General features: G+C 37.8%; 2 pseudogenes, besides 2 other annotated features; both read left to right on the plus strand.

The window, feature by feature from the left end:
- ST13P21 (ST13, Hsp70 interacting protein pseudogene 21) lies at positions 1,825 to 3,209 on the plus strand (annotated as a pseudogene).
- Positions 2,615 to 3,148: an enhancer, noted in NCBI's record as "OCT4-NANOG hESC enhancer chr1:109045678-109046211 (GRCh37/hg19 assembly coordinates)". NCBI's record gives its function as "activates a minimal SCP1, AML or CMV promoter by ChIP-STARR-seq in primed H9 embryonic stem cells {active_cell/tissue: H9 hESC(primed)}" and the evidence as "EXISTENCE:reporter gene assay evidence [ECO:0000049][PMID:30033119]".
- Positions 4,148 to 4,287: a silencer, noted in NCBI's record as "silent region_1134". NCBI's record gives its function as "represses an Ori minimal core promoter by ATAC-STARR-seq in GM12878 lymphoblastoid cells {active_cell/tissue: GM12878}" and the evidence as "EXISTENCE:reporter gene assay evidence [ECO:0000049][PMID:35858748]".
- RPL7L1P21 (RPL7L1 pseudogene 21) lies at positions 8,132 to 8,957 on the plus strand (annotated as a pseudogene).

Below are 17,107 nucleotides of genomic sequence, written 5' to 3' on the forward strand. Positions count from 1 at the left end.
GGTCTTGAACTCCTGACCTCAGGTGATCCGCCCTCCTCGGCCTCCCAAAGTGCTGGGATACAGGCATAAGCCACCGCACCCAGCCTCAAATTTTAAGATATTTTGAAGCATAGATCTCTAAGAGTACTTGGAGGCAAATGCTATGCAGACTATGATATATATATGACTATGAGCCTTGCCACTCTTTCAAGAGAATTTCAGTTATGGTTTATACATTCATCCAGTAAATATTGGGAAAGCATTATCTAAATCTGCAACTCACAATTCCTACTTTCAGGCAAGTAAATAGGCAACTATCCTACAGAATGATGGTGCTGAGTAGGAGTAATCGACTCTTAAGAGTGTAGTTGTTCTCAATAAATGGATGCCTTTTGCAAATTGAGACTTTGGTTGAAGTAGATATTATATGCCAATTCTTCTTGGCATTGTACAAATTTCTAATGAAGCAACATTCTATAGCATCACTTGTTTAATCAGCAAGATCCACTAGCAAATCTAATAGTTTATAATGCATTACATTTTTATGCCCTTGACGCATAGCATAAAATATACCAATAGTAAGAAAAAGACCACTTTCAGTAACGTGTTTCCAGTAATGGGCAACTTCTTCAACATCTTTTTTTTGCAGGTTTAAGAAAAAATTTTTCCTCCATTCAACCCAATCCACTGTCATGGACCCATCAATATCCGTGCTGTATATTATTTAAGAAGAATATGCTCAAATATAAATTATGATTCATATATTTCAAAAAACATTATCAAAATGACATATTCTTAAAGCCAGAAAAGTCGGATTGTAGTTGCGTTCTTCCTGTTGTTACTTTTGTGATATAGAGTCCACTTAACATCTCTGAACTTCAGTTTATGTGAGAATAATTCCTATAACACAGAGCTATTAGACTATTAAATAAGTTTATGTGTACAATGGCCTTATAAATTACACAACTACAGAACTTGTAAGTCAGTAGTACTGCATCCCAATTTTCTAGTATTTCTTCTTAAACATTTCTCCTTCTTTCTGTCTTATAACCTCATTTTATAACTTCTTGCATGTTCTCTAGCAAAGAATGGTTGACAATTACCCTTTTTGGTTATGGATCTTACAAGACAATATACATTTTCTATGGCTATAAAATATCCAGTATCCAAAATAGCAAGACATCCATATATTCTTGGAAATATAATTCCCATTAATATGAAATAATAGTTTTGAAGCCAACTTTTTTTGAGACAGGGTCTTACTATGTTGCCCAGGCTAGTCTTGAACTTCCAAGTTCAAGCTATGCTTCTGCCTCAACCTCCTAGTAGCTGGATCTACAGGCAAGTACCACTGTCCCTGGCTCAAGTCAATTTTTAAAATTTTAGGAATTCTCTACTATGCAGCCATAAAAAAGAATGAGTCCATGTCCTTTGCAGAGACATGGAAGAAGCTTGAAACCATCATTCTCAGCAAACTAATATAGGAAGAGAAAACCAAAGACCGCATGTTCTCACTCATAAGTGGGAGTTGAACAATGAGAACACGTGGACACAGGGAGGGGAACATCACACACTGGGGCCTGTCAGGGGGTGCGGGAGAAGGGGAGGGAGAACATTAGAACAAACACCTAATGCATGCAGGGCTTAAAACCTAGATGACAGGTTGATAGGTGCAGCAAATCACCATGGCACATGTATGCCTCTGTTACAAACCTGCAAGTTCTGCACATGTATCCCAGAACTTAAAGTAAAATAAAAATTTTTAAAAACGAAAAAAAAGAATTTTAGGAATTCTCAGTGAAGAATTTCTCAAATTCCTGTATGCAGTTAAGAATTTGAAGAAAGCCCTTCTGCATAGTCATGCTGAGCCAGCTCCTGTGCCTGCAATTGGGCCACAGCCCCCTAAGCTTCGCCCTCCACCTCTTGACCTCTTGACCATGGATCCCCACCAAATGAGCAAGCCTGGGGCCTTCCTGAAAATGTGTAAGCAGGATCTGAGTGTTCTGCACACCAAAGAAATGCACTTCCTGAAGGAATGGATGAAGAGCATGGGGGGTAAACTACCACCTGCTATTCAGAAAGCTAAATCAGAAGAAAATATCAAGGAAGGAAAAACAGATAGCAGGAAGGCAGAAAGAAAACATAAAGATAGATGAACCATCAAATGAGAAAACTGATCTAGAAATTGATAATGAAGGTGTGATTGAACAAGACACTGATGCCCCTCAAGAAATGGGAGATGAAAATGCAGAGAAAACGGAGGAGATGATGGATCAGCAAATGGTAAGAAAGTGGTTGCCACTGAAACCGTAAATGATGGTGAACTGTGGCTTATTCACAGATGCCATTAAGCTGAATCCTCACTTGGCCATTCTGTGTGCCAAGAGAGCCAGTGTCTTCATCAAATTACAGAAGCCCAATGCTGCCAGTCAAGACAGTGACAGAGCCATTGAGATAAATCCTGATTCAGCTCAGACTTACAAGTGGTGAGAAAACACACACAGACTTCTGGGTCTTTGGGAAGAAGCAGCCCATGCTCTTGCCCTTGCTTGGAAATTGGATTATGATGAAGATGCTAGTAAAATGCTGAAAGAAGTTCAAATCTAGGGCCTAGAAAATTATAGAACATTGTAGAAAGTATGAGTGAAAACGTGAAGAGCAAGAGATCAACGAAAGAATAGAAAGGGTTAAGAAGGCTCTCGAGAAAAGCATGAGAGATCCCAGAGGGAGGAAGAAGCCAGAAGATGATCCAGAGCTCAGTATGGCTCTTTTCCAAGTGGCCTTTCTGGGAGAATGCCTGGTAATTTTCTCAGAGAAATGCCTGGAATGGGAGGGGACATGTCTGGAATGGCAGGAATGCATGGACTCAAAATTCTTAGTGACCAGAGGTTCTCACAGCCATGCAGGGTTCAGAAGTTATGGTGGCCTTCCAGGATGTGGCCCAGAACCCAGCAAATATGTCAAAATGCCAGAGCAACCCAAAGGTTAAGAATCTCATCAGTAAATTGTCAGCCAAATTTGGAGGTCAAGCGTAATGCCCTTCTGATAAATAAAGCCCTTGATAAAGGAAAAGCAACCTAGATCACCTAATGGATGTTGCAATTATGCAAACCAGTGTACCTCTGACCTTATCAAGACAGCTGGGGTGCTTTGAAGATAATCTCTACCTGTCTACCCTGAATGCAACTAAAGCATTTTACAGCGGTTTGCCATTAGGGTATTCATGCAGATAATGCTTTCTACTAGGAATTACAAACTTTAAACACTTTTTAAACCTTAAAAATATTTAAAACAAATTAAGAGGGTCTGTTAATTCTTTATTTTATTTTATTTTATTTTTTTTTTTTTTTTGAGACAGAATCTCGCTCTGTTTCCCAGGCTGGAGTGCAGTGGCGTGATCTCAGCTCACTGCAACCTCCGCCTCCCAGGTTCATGCCATTCTTCTGCCTCAGCCTCCCGAGTAGCTGGGACTACAGGCGCCCGCCACCACACCCAGCTAATTTTTTTATTTTTAGTAGAGACGGGGTTTCACCATGTTAGCCACGATGGTCTCGATCTCCTGACCTTGTGATCTGCCCGCCTCAGTCTCCCAAACTGCTGGGATTACAGGTGTGAGCCATTGCCTCTCTTGACCCCGCTTTCCCCACTGTGGCCTTTATCTCTCTTTGCCTTTGCAGCAACACCCCTTAAAGACTTGTCTCCCTTGCATGTCCACCTTCTCCTTGTCATTCTCTCTTGAGCCCACTCTCAGGCTCTCACCACCATTACTCTACCAGTGGCCTCCATGGCACTAAATCCAGTGGTCCATTCTCTGTCCTCATCTTAGTCTATCAGCATTTGACAGACAGAACTGTCTCCTCTCTGAAATGTGTTCTTTATTTGGCTTCCAGAACAAAGTATTCTCCTGGTTTTCTTCCTTTCTCTCTAGTTCTTTCCTCCTATTCTCCTTCCCTGGTTTCCCCTCATTTCCCCTGCCACATAACATTAGAGCATACCAGGACCCAGCGTACTGTACTCCCTCCCTGGTCTTCTCAGCCATTCTTATGGCTTCAAACATCATCTATAAGCCTGTAACTCCCAAATCTGAACTCCAGACTCATTTCAAGATACCTACTTGATATCTCTACTTGGATGTCTCATTAGCATCTGAAACTTGAGAACAAAACTGTACTCTGAGATCTACTCCATTTTAAACCTGCTCCTCTCACAGTCTTACTCTTAAACCTGCTCCTCTCACAGTCTTACTCATTTCAATACATGAGGCAGCTACAGCCTCCTAGACGCTCAGACCAAGAACTTTGACAGTATCCTTAACTATTCACTTTCTTTAACACCCTACACATGATCCAGAAGTAAATCTTGTCAGTATTTCAAAATCTACCTGGCATCTACTCACTTCTCACCCTCATCCATCCTGGTGCAAGCCATCCTAAAATCTTGTCTGTTATTATTGCAGCACTGTCTTAATTGGTCTCTCTGTTTTCACCCTTGCCGTTATAAACTATTCGCAGTACACCAGCCAGAATGAGATGGTTAAAACTTAAGTTAGATCATGTCACACCTCTGTTTAAAACCACCCAATGACTTAACTGAGTAAAAACCAAAGTTCTTACAATTTCCTGGAAGCCTTATGTGATCTGGCCTCCTATTACCTCTAGATTTCATCTCCTACCACGCTCTCCCTCATTCACTCTATTCTGCACACACTGGCCTCCTCTCAATGCCCTAACCCTGTCAGAGACACTACCTACTTCACCCTTTGCTGTTGCTATTTCCTTTGCCTGGAAAGCTCTTCCCCCAAAGATCATCATAGCTCCCTCTCTTACTTCCTCCTTATCTCTACTCAAATGTCACTTTCAAGAATTCCCTACTCACCACAGTTAAATTGCATTTCCCCAACACACACACACACACACACACACACACACACACACACACACGAGTCTCCCTCCTCTGCTTCATTTCCCCTTAGCACTTTTCATTATCTAACATAGCTTAATTATTTATCTAGTTTATTGTTTTTCTCCTCTTGTTTATGGTGAGCTCTATGAGAGCAAGGATTTTGGCCTATTTCCTTCACTACTGCATCCTTAGCACCTAGATGAATGACAGGCATATCACAGACACTCAATAAATATTTGTTAGTAAATAAATAAATCCACTTTTCATCACCACCTCTTGTGCTCTACACTCAGAGGTTGAAATATTGAGTCTTATTCAAGGACTCCCTGTCTTGAGTTGTTGGAACCCTTTTCTCCCAATCAGTCATCTCCTGTCTCTATAACAGATCCAACATGTCCTTCTCTGGTGACTACTTCTCAGATCTCTCCTATCCACCAAAAGATAATAAAAATAAAATTTAAAAAGACTTGTCCTCTCCTTCTCATTTAAATTTCTCTTAAACCACATCCCCACATTAACCATTTCTCTTAAACCACAGTCCCCACATCCTCACCCTCACCCACTCAACAGCCTTATGCAACCTGACTTAACCCTTTACCACACTACTCAAACTCCTTTCACTGACATCCCCGGAAATCTCCCAAACGCCAGATCCAATGGATATTTTTCAATAATGTTATTGCTGCTCTTTTCTGCTGAAAAAAGGAAGGATCTAAAAAATGAAGACACATAAAATGTTCAAGAAATAGAGGATGAAACATCATAAATACATCAATTCTCCCCAATATTAAGCTATTAATTCAATAAATTGCAATCAAAATTCCAAAAATGATATATATATATATGTGCATGTGTATGCACATGTATATAACAAAACAATCTGATTCTAAAATTCATATAGAAGAGGAAAGGGTCAAAAATAGCATTGACACTATTGGAGATGAATGTAAGTCCAGATGTCGAGATGTATTATACAGTGATAGTAATTAAGACATGCGGTATTGATACACAGTAGACAACAACTAATATAACAGGAAAAGGAAACCAGAAACACACCCATACACAGATGGAAATTTAATATATGACTAGAGGTAAGCATTTCAAATCTGTAGGAAAAGGATGGGACTAACCAATAAATGGTGATAGGACAATTGACTATACAGAAAAAAAAAGAAATTGAATCCCTATTTCACACCATACACAAACATCAATTACAGGTGAATTAAAGAACTAAATATGAAATATCTAAATATTTAAATAAGATATTGATGAATATCTTCATGCCCCAGGGTAAGGAAGAATTTCTCAATATGTCAAAAGCACAACCATAAAAGAAAAAGAGACAAATATAACTGCATTAAAATTTAAAATGTCTGCACAACAAAAAAACACCAAAAATTTGTTTTAAATAAGCAACAAGCTGGGAAAAGATATTCATATTGCATAATGCCAACATAGGATTAATATCCAGAATTTAGAAAGAACACCTACAAGCCATTAAGAAAAAGACAACCAATCTCGCTGAAAAATTGACAAAAGGAATAAACAGGTAATTCACAAAAAAAATCCAAATGACCAGCAAATATATGAAGAGATAGTTTTACTAGTAATAAGGAATATAATTAATTACATTTAGTTACATTAAAAATAATGAGATAATATTTCTGACCCATAGGTTTGGAAAATATTAAAATATTAGAATACTACGGTATCAAGTGTTGGAATGGAAATACATTTCTGGTAGGAATCTAAGGTGGTACAACTACTTTGGAGAGCAATTTGGAATATTTAATTAAAGTTAAATATCTGTAAAGCCTATGACCAAACAATTCCACCGCAAGTAATACACAAGGAGATGCACACAAGAATATCCATTGCAGCTTTATATTATATTAGCAACAAAAGAAATTTTTAACCTAAATAACCACCATCAGAATTCATAAGTAAACTGAGTTATATTTATTAAATGGAACCATACAGTGGTTAAAATAATTGAACTAGAGCTATATGCATTGACATAAATAAATCTCCAAAAATTGAAGGATTAGAAAATAGTCATAAAAAAATCCTGTATGTCACCATTTAAAGGCTTAAGACATAAGAAACAATATCCTATATTTTAACAGTATATGTATAGTAAAATGTATGCAAATATAAAAGTCTATATGAGAATAATAAGTTCAGAATAGTAGTTACTTCTGGCAGGAATGGAGGAAATGGGTTTAGAGAATAATACATTGAAAATGTTTGCTGCCTGTAATTTTGTTTTTAAAAATCTGAATCAAATATGTAAAATGTTAAATATGACAAACACAGTGGTAGGTATGGTTTTTGGTTATATTATTCTCTTTATTGTTCTGTATAAAATAGTTCATAATAAGTTAGCCTTATTTCAGGAATGTTTAACATGACAAAATCTATTACTATAATTCATTATATAAATAGGTCAAATGACACATTATACAGTTTAATAAAATTCAGCACTCTCCTGATAAGATACTTTTCTTTGTTGTTCTTCTATATGTTCCTGTCATAATCCTTGCCACATTGCAACTGTCTGTTCACTGTTAGCACATGTGCGTGTACACACACACACACACACACACACACACACAGTGGACTGTCAGCTCTGTAAGGACAGGCACAAGGGCCAGGCTACCACTGCATCCTCGTTAGCTAGTACATGCCCAGCAAAAAGGATCAAACTTGATAAATATAAAATGACATAATCTTATAAAAAGCAATAAATCTATACACTAAAATGATACCAGGTTAACATTTGGGTGATTGGATTATGGTGACATTGGGGAAGTTACTTAACCTCACTTCTCAACAATTTCCTCTTCTGTGAAAAATAATAGACTTGGTCTCTAAAGTCTTGTGAGGATTAAATGAGATAATGTATGTAATGTTCTTAGAAGAGTGCTAGCAGACAGATGTTCAATAATGAAAAGCCATTATTCATATTTTTCTAACATTTCCATAGTTATCACTTTTATCATTAAAAAGGGTTTAGAGCTAATAAAATTAATAATAATAAAAATTAAGTTTAATATATACATACATATATGAGAGCTGACCTTTCAAGAATCTTCTCTGCCTCTTTTTTAGGAATATTTATACCTGTTAACTTGAGAGCATCGATAAATTTCTGAAGTATCCATCACTCCTTTAAAGGAATAAAGAAAATAAGGATCAACTGGAAAGTTTGAAAAGATACACAAGCAAATATTATTTAGTGCATTATTGTCCTCAGAGCCACTCAGGCAAAGAATGCACTTTTAGCAAAAAAAAAAAAAAAAAGAAAAGGGAGAAATGGCCTCAGGTGTAAGCAACTGGAATCGTTCCTACATGATTTCCGGTGGCAGAAACACAACAAGGTGCCTCTCAGATGACTAGAAGTGAAATCTCATGCCTTGGAATTGCCAGATAAACATTCCTTGGCCTTTGTTGTACACATCCTAAAAATTAATAGCATGAGTTTACTGGTGCAGAGAACCACTGCAAGAAGAAAATGGTTCACCTAAAGAAAATTTTTAGTAGTGTCTTTGTAAAAGCCACCCCCAGAGCCTAAAACTGCTGTACATATTGGAATCTTATATGACCTGGGGATTTCTAAATCTGAAGCCCATCTGGGAACTCATCTTGAAACACGGACAAGCCAAGGTCAAGAATAAGACCATCTCTCCAACAGACAACACAGTGAGGAGCACCTGAGGAAGTTTGCTGTCATTTGCTTAGAAGACCTCATTCATGATGTTGCCTTCCCAAGGAAGTATTTCCAGATCTCATGGTTCCTGCACCCTTTCCAGCTCTTGGTGGCCCATCACGCTATCAAGAATAGAGTGAGGTTCTTCCATGAGATGGGCTCGCCTGGCTGTCAGAGTGAATGCAGCAATCAGCTCAACCACCAGCTGAACTAGACCCAGAATACCTGAATGCATGGTGCATTGGAAGCATGTGTTTCTGTTTTTTTGAACTGTTATCAAAAATAACAATTGGAATTGTATCTTGAGGGAAGAGTATCTCCTGCTTTATCTTCAAAAACTGGAAGAGAAGAGTCAATGAAAATACAGCAAGTTATGTACATGGCAGGCACCTCTCATCACAGTCCAGCTCCAAGGAAACATTCCAGTGTTTTCTACATTGGCTGCTGCCTCCTCTGAAATAATCACGTGTCATGAAAGGAGTCCTGCTTTGTCACATTTGCACGAGTCCCCCTAAGACTCCTGTAGCAGTGGACCAAGCCCAAGGACATAATTGAATCTGAGAGTTCCTAGGGCCTTGTTCTGAAAAGACTTGAAATACAATTAGGAAGACGGGCACAAAAACAGGTGGTGGGTTGTCTCTTGTGAGTCTATGTTCCAACTTTTCACTGATGACTTTGAGAGCGCTCAGACTTGGCTGACTTTAGGTATATCTGCTGGCTTTTGTATCATAGTCTGCAACTAGCTTAGTCCTTTTTTCTAAAAGCTCAGAATTTGAGAATGAAGGACCCTTTCACCAGAAAAACATGTATGTACTCAAAATTTTGCTTGCAGTTTTAGGATGTTTAGACCCTTCTCCTCAGGGACCTATGCACCTTATGTGAGGAAGTCCTGCTCTTATCAGGATTGGTCATCCAGGCCCTGATCTTGCTCATCTCTGGTTCCATGTCCTGTGGAGGACCAAAGCTCACCAAGATAGCTTTTTTCCCTTCACTGTGGCAGACTGTGTTGCCCCTGCGCCATCTATAACTCTGGGAAATGCCCATCATATCTTCTCTTGGGCTTCAGGAAAGAATTTCCTGGTTTCTCTGATGATCAGCACTCTCCTTAAAATCCAGATAAAAAAGGAATGAACCATTTTCTCAGTTTGGTGTGGATAAAATTAGTGCTGTTTGATTTTTTGGGCCCCAGGCAGGCAGGTTAATTAGCATTTCCTTGTATATTCTAGTCTCCAGTAGTCTAGTCCAGGAGACTCTAGTCTCCTGCTGGTAATAATATAGTAGTAGATAGTAGACCAGCAACTGGGCTTCTTGGGATTTTAATCCTGAAAACAGTGGGTCTGACACTGTAGTGTTTTTCATCAGTGTCCACCCCTAAATGGGCCTTCGCACTACTCCCTTCACTTGGTTGCCTCCACTTGCCATCTGAGCAATTGGCGAGGATGTGCCAGGCCTAGGTTACACTTGAAAACATACTTGACCTTGTATTCCCTGCTCCTTTGAGGTCAGTTTTGCTGCAATTTTGGTTCATGGGGCCCTCATACATGGCTGAGAAATTGAGTGAGAGGTATAACAGTGCCTTAAAATGTTTCAGCCTATGAGGTAATTAATTAGGTTGGTTAGCTCCAGAGGTAACCTGCCAGGAAGATATGATATAGATGTTACTCTTACACTGTAATGAAACATTGTGAAATCAGATTACTTTAAAATGAGGTACCACAAAGTCATGGGAAAAAAGCAGTTGTGAGTATGGAAGCCCAGGGCTTACATCCCAGCTCTCTCTTATACTAAATATGGGTACAGTGTTTCCACCCTTTGTCTGTAAGATGGGAGCTAATATCCTCTAGCCTGTCTGTCTCACATGGTAATTAAAAGGATTAAGCAAAACAATAGTTTATAATTCATAATTCTATACAAATAAGAGATGTTATTATTTAAAAAAATAAATCTTGAAGCTTGTAATCTGGTCTTTGGGGAAAAAATCATAAATCATAAAATACAAATTTGGTAACATTGAAAACACCTGTGCATCAAAACACATCATTAAAAAGATGAAAAATAAAAGCCACAGAACAAAAATACAAACCTTACAACTAACAAAAGATAGTATTCAGAGTACATAAGAAATCCTATCAATCACTAAGAAAAAGACAAATAATGTAATGAATAAGCAAAGAATATGAAAAGGGACCCCATAGGACTTATAACTTATTCATGTTTCTATATTATCACAGTCCTCACCTCATTGGGCTCTCATTTCTTTCCTTAGTCCCACTTAGATTCCATGATCCATCAACTTAACCAATACCTTACATATCCCTTTACTCCTGATGCCTCTTTTATTTCCCTTATTCATTTGGCAAAACCATCACCTTGAGTAAATCCCTGCAACTTCACCTCTGTGGCTGACTGGAGCTATAGGCACACTTCTTCCAATGCAGCTGAAAAACGGGTACAAATTCGGTTAAGAATTTGCGGATATGATAGCGGAAAGATGAAGGAGGCCCATAAAATGGCTTCCATGTCTTCAGTGAAGAATGAAGCACTGTGGTAAAAGTGAGGATGTAAGGATGTGAGGGAGAGAGGATCAGAAAGACAGGATGTGAGGACAGAAGTTTGAAGAGATTTGAAAAAGGTACAGCATCATTTTTATGGAGACAGGGAGATGATGTTACCAGAGAAACTGGGCACTATGAGTACCAATTTACAATCATGATTTTTTAGGATATCAATTTGTGAAACTTGCAGTGCATCAAGTAGCTCACAACTGAGCACACTGACCTTATGTAGCTTTAGTGGACCACTATTTCAGAACCCTTTGTCAGAGTATACCAGCCTCCACTCTGCTATGACATGCAGTTATTCTAGTCTACAGTCCAGAGGCTCTGCGCCAATCTATTCTTCTTAGTGTACAGAATTTAGGCATTATGGAGCTGAACAACAGAGGGAGCCAGGATCCTGATTGCTATGGAAACGTCATGTCATCCTGGATTACATAGGTTTATGTGTGACAGAAATAAACTAGGATCGGACCTTAAGCCACTGGTATTTCAGGTTTTCTCCACCACCCCCAGCTGATTGTAAATATAACCAACAAAAAGCTCCAATGAATAATGTACAACTATTCAGAATAACGGATCACCACAAAAATGCCCATGTTAAACCATAGTAAAAATGACTATCAATATAGGGTTTGAAACTGTTAATTATATTGAAGTCAAAATAACTTTCGCGTTTATATGAAATCAAGAGATTAGAAATATCTGTTTTACTAACTTATAAATCCACATAGTAATGATATTTATGAAATAAAAGACTTTGTAAAAATGATAAATGAAAACAGCAATAATTGTGCAAATTGCCTCAACATTTCATTTAGCCAGTATTTATGGAGTATATAAACAGTGCTACACAGTATGTTGTCTGCTAGGGATATGAACATGAAATAGTCTCTAACTTCCATTGAGGAGCCAACAGAGACATAAACAGATAACTTTCTCTCTGTTTATCTTCAGTGTGATTTTTTATTTATGAACAGATTTTATAAATTTAGCAAATGGATAAAAAATATTTTTTTAGCCTTGGAAAAGATACCAGTTTTGGTGGGGAAAAAGGCTAAATGTAATTTGGCTCACTGAGCAGTAGAGGGTGATAGAACACCAAAATGACAGCTTGAGAATGCCTTTAGACCACGTTGTATTTTTCTATAAACAATTCATTCAATTAATATTTTTCCACAAACTCAATGACATATTTAGCTATGAATATAAAAGTACATAAGGAAATTATAAATAAAGTGCAGTCATAATTTGGGAAAAGCAAGGGGAAAAAATTAGCAATTTTCACTTATTCCTGTTTTATTTATTATTCTTTATTACATTTTTTTCCTCCGTGTTACAATATCAGGAAAGCTCATCGACCGAGGAAATACATTGCACCAGTTTTTTCTCATAAGTGTTACAAATAAAGGTTGTCTTATTGGTATCTTTCATGTTAAGGGTCAAGTTAATGAAAGCCAATGTGGTAGGTGCATGGCAACAGCAAAAGACAAAAGAATGATAAAATCTTTATATCTGTGGGTAGCATCTTTTTGAAGCATGAAATTTAATAACCCTGATTTACGTCAGTTCTTTTGACAGTAATATGTCATATATAATATTCACATGATAAAACTCTTTAAAATGCAACTACAGCAAAGTGGTGTTTCCTCATCAGAATATATTTTGTTTAAAATTATTGTGAAAGTGCCTCTTATTTATGTTATTATAATGCATTTCCTACAAAAAGAGAAAGTGGCTTTTCTTCATCCGAATATATTTTGTTTACAATTATTGTGAAAGTGCTTCTTATTTATGTTATTATGGACAATTAACTCTCCCTTTTCAAGGGCATAAATGAGCAGTTATTTGTGGAGCACACACTAGGTGCTCAATTTATGTATGTTCAGAGGAAGAGATTTTTGAAACTTTGAGTTAGGCTAGAGTGCTGTTTTAGTTTCCTAGGACTGACTTAACAAATTACTAGAAACTGGGTGGCTTAAAACAATAAAAATTTAGTTTCTCACAGTTCAGGAGGCCAGAAGACCAAAATCAAAGTGTTGGCAAGGTTGGTTCCTTCCAGAGGTTCTAAGGGAGAATCTGTTCCCTGCTTCATTCCTGATTGCCAGCAATCCTTGGCATTCCTTGGCTTCTGGCTGCACCACTCTAGTCTCTGCCTCCACCATACATGGCATTCTCTGTGGGTGTCTGTGACTTTTTTTATATATACTTTAAGCTCTGGGATACATGTGCAGAACGTGCAGGTTTGTTACATAGGTATACATGTGCCATGGTGGTTTGCTGCACTTATCAACCCATCATCTAAGTTTTAAGCCCTGCATGCATTAGGTAGTTCTCCTAATGCTATTCCTCCCCTTGCCCCTACCCGCCAAAAGGCCCCAGTGTGTAATGTTCCCCTCCCTGTGTTCGTGTGTTCTCATTGTTCAACTCCCACTTATGAGTGAGAACATGTGGTGTTTGGTTTTCTGTTCCTATGTTAGTTTGCTGAGAATGATAGTTTCCAGCTTCATCCATGTCCCTGCAAAGAACTTTTTTATGGCTGCATAGTATTCCATGGTGTATATGTGCCACATTTTCTTTATCCAGTCTGTCATTGATGGGCATTTGGGTTGGTTCCAAGTCTTTGCTATTGTAAATAGTGTTGCAATAAACATACATGTACATGTGTCTTTATAATAGAATGATTTAAAATCCTTTGGGTATATACCCAGTAATGGGATTGCTGAGTCTAATGGTATTTCTGGTTCTAGATCCTAGAGGAATCGCCACACTGTCTTCCACAATGGTTGAACTAGTTGATACTCCCACCAACAGTGTAAAAGCGTTTCTATTCTTCACATCCTCTCCACCATCTGTTGTTTCCTCACTTTTTAATGATCACCATTCTAACTGGCATGAGATGGTATCTCATTGTGGTTTTGATTTGCATTTCTCTAATGACCAGGGATGATGACATTTTTTTCATATATTTGTTGGCCACATGAATGTCTTCTTTTGAGAAGTGTCTGTTCGTATTCTTCACCCACTTTTTGATGGGATAGTTTGTCTTTTTCTTGCAAATATGTTAAAGTTCTTTGTAGATTCTGGATATTAGCCCTTTGTCAGATGGGTAGATTGCAAAAATTTTCTCCCATTCTGTAGGTTGCCTGTTCACTTTGATGATAATTTCTTTTGCTGTGCAGAAGCTCTTTAGTTTAACTAATCCCATTTGTCAATTTTGGCTTTTGTTGCAATTGCCTTTGGTGTTTTAGTCATGAAGTCTTTGCCAGTGCCTATATACTGAATGGTATTGCCTAGGTTTTCTTCTAGAGTTTTCATGGTTTTAGGCCTTATGTTTAAGTCTTAATCCATCTCGAGTTAATTTTTGTATAAGGTGTAAGGAAGGGGTCCAGTTTCAGTTTTCTTCATATGGCTAGCCAGTTTTCCCAACACCATTTATTAAATAGGGAATCCTTTGTCCATTGCTTGTTTTTGTCAGTTTTGTCAAAGATCAAATGGTTGCAAATGTATGGTGTTATTTCTGAGGCCTCTGTTCTGTTCCATTGGTCTATACATCTGTTTTGGTACCCAGTAGAATGTGGCATAGTTTGAAGTCAGATACTATGATGCTTCCAGCTTTGTTTTTCTGACTTAGGTTTCTCTTGGCTATATGGGCTCCTTTTTGGTTCCATGTGAAATTCGAAGTAGTTTTTTCTAATTCTGTGAAGAAAGTCAATGATAGCTTGATGGGAACAGCATTGAATCTAGCTTGATAGGAACAGCATTGAATCTATATATTACCTTGGGAAGTATGGCCATTTTCACTATATTGATTCTTCCTATCCATGAGCATGGAATGTTTTTCCATTTGTTTATGTCCTCTCTTATTTTCTTGAGCAGTGGTTTGTAGTTCTCCTTAAAGAGGTCCTTCACATCCCTTGTAAGTTGGATTCCAAGGTATTTTATTCTCTTGGTAGCAATTGTGAATGGGAGTTCACTCGTGATTTGGCTCTCTATTATTGGTGTATAGGCATGCTTGTGATTTTTGCACATTGATTTTCTATCCTGAGACTTTGCTGAACTTGCTTATCAGCTTTAAAAGATTTTGGGCTGAGACATTGGGGTTTTCTAAATATGCAATCATGTCATCTGTAAGCAGAGACAATTTGACTTCCTATCTTCCTATTTAAATACACTTTATTTCTTTCTCTTGCCTGATTGCCCTGGCCAGAACTTCCAATACTATGTTGAATAGGAGTGGTGAGATAGAGCGTCCTTGTCTTGTGCTGGTTTTCAAAGGGAATGCTTCCAGTTTTTGCCCATTCAATATGATATTGGCTGTGGGTTTGTCATAAATAGTTCTTATTATTTTGAGGTATGTTCCACAAATACCTAGTTTATCAAGTGCTTTTAGCATAGGGGGTTTTGAATTTTATTGAAGGCCTTTTCTGCATCTATTGAGATAATCATGTGGTTTCTGTCATTGGTTCTGTTTATGTGATGGATTATGTTTATTGATTTGTGTATGTTGAACCAGCCTTGCATCCCAGTGATGAAGCTGATGAAGCTGACTTGATCGTGGTGGATAAGTTTTTGATGTGCTGCTGGATGCGGTTTGCTAGTATTTTACTGAGGATTTTCACATCAATGTTCATCAGGGATATTGGCTTGAAATTTTCTTTTTTTGTTGTGTCTCTGCCAGGTTTTGGCATCAGGATGATGCTGGCCTCATAAAAATGAGTTAGGGAGGAGTCCATCTTTTTCTGTTGTTTGGGATACTTTCAGAAGGAATGGTATCAGCTCTTTGTACCTCTGGTAGAATTTGGCTGTGAATCTGTCTCGTCCTGGCCTTTTTTTTGGTTGGTAGGCTATTAATTACTGCATCAATTTCAGAACTTGTTATTGGTCTATTCAGGGATTCTACTTCTTCCTAGTTTAGTCTTCGTAGGGTGTATGTGTCCAGGAATTTAACCATTTCTTCTAGATTTTCTAGTTTATTTGCACAGAGGTGTTTATAGTATTCTCTGATGGTAGTTTGTATTTCTGTGGGATGAGTGGTGATGTCCCCTTTATCATTTTTTATTGTGTCTATTTAATTCTTCTGTCTTATATTTTTTCTATCTAGTTCGTTAATCTTTTCAAAAAGCCAGCTGCTGGATTCATTGATTTTTTGAAGGGTTTTTCGTGTCTCTATCTCCTTCAGTTCTGCTCTGATGTTAGTTATTTCTTGTCTTTTGCTAGCTTTTGAATTTGTTTACTCTTGCTTCTCTAGTTCTTTTAATTGTGATGTTAGGGTGTTGATTTTGGATCTTTCCTACTTTCTCTTGTGGGTATTTTGTTCTATAAATTTACCTCTAAACACTGCTTTAGCTGTGTCCCAGAGATTCTGGTACATTGTGTCTTTGTTCTCATTGGTTTCAAGGAACTTATTTATTTCTGCCTTAATTTAGTTATTTACCCAGTAGTCATTCAGGAGCAGGTTGTTCAGTTTCCATGTAGTTGTGTGGTTTTGAGTGAGTTTCTTAATCCCGATTTCTAATTTGATTGCACTGTGGTCTGAGAGACTGTTTGTTATGATTTCTGTTCGTTTACATTTGCTGAGGAGTGTTTTACTTCCAATTATGTGGTCACTTTTGGAATAAATGCTATGTGGTGCTGAGAAGAATGTATATTCTGTTGATTTTGGGTGGAGAGTTCTGTAGATGTCTATTAGCTCTGCTTGGTCCAGAGCTGAGTTGAAGTCCTGAATATCCTTGTTAATTTTCTGTTTCATTGATCTGTCTAATATTGACAGTGGGATGTTAAAGTCTCCCACTATTATTGTGTGGGAGTCTAAGTCTCTTTGTAGGTCTCTAAGAACTTGCTTTATGAATCTGGGTTGTGGGGAAAAGAAAGAGAGATCAGATTGTTACTGTGTCTGTGTAGAACGAAGTAGACATAGGAGACTCCATTTTGTTCTCTACTAAGAAAAATTCTTCTGCCT

Source organism: Homo sapiens, chromosome 1, assembly GCF_000001405.40.
Source record: "Homo sapiens chromosome 1, GRCh38.p14 Primary Assembly".
Classification (NCBI taxonomy): Eukaryota; Metazoa; Chordata; class Mammalia; order Primates; family Hominidae; genus Homo; species Homo sapiens.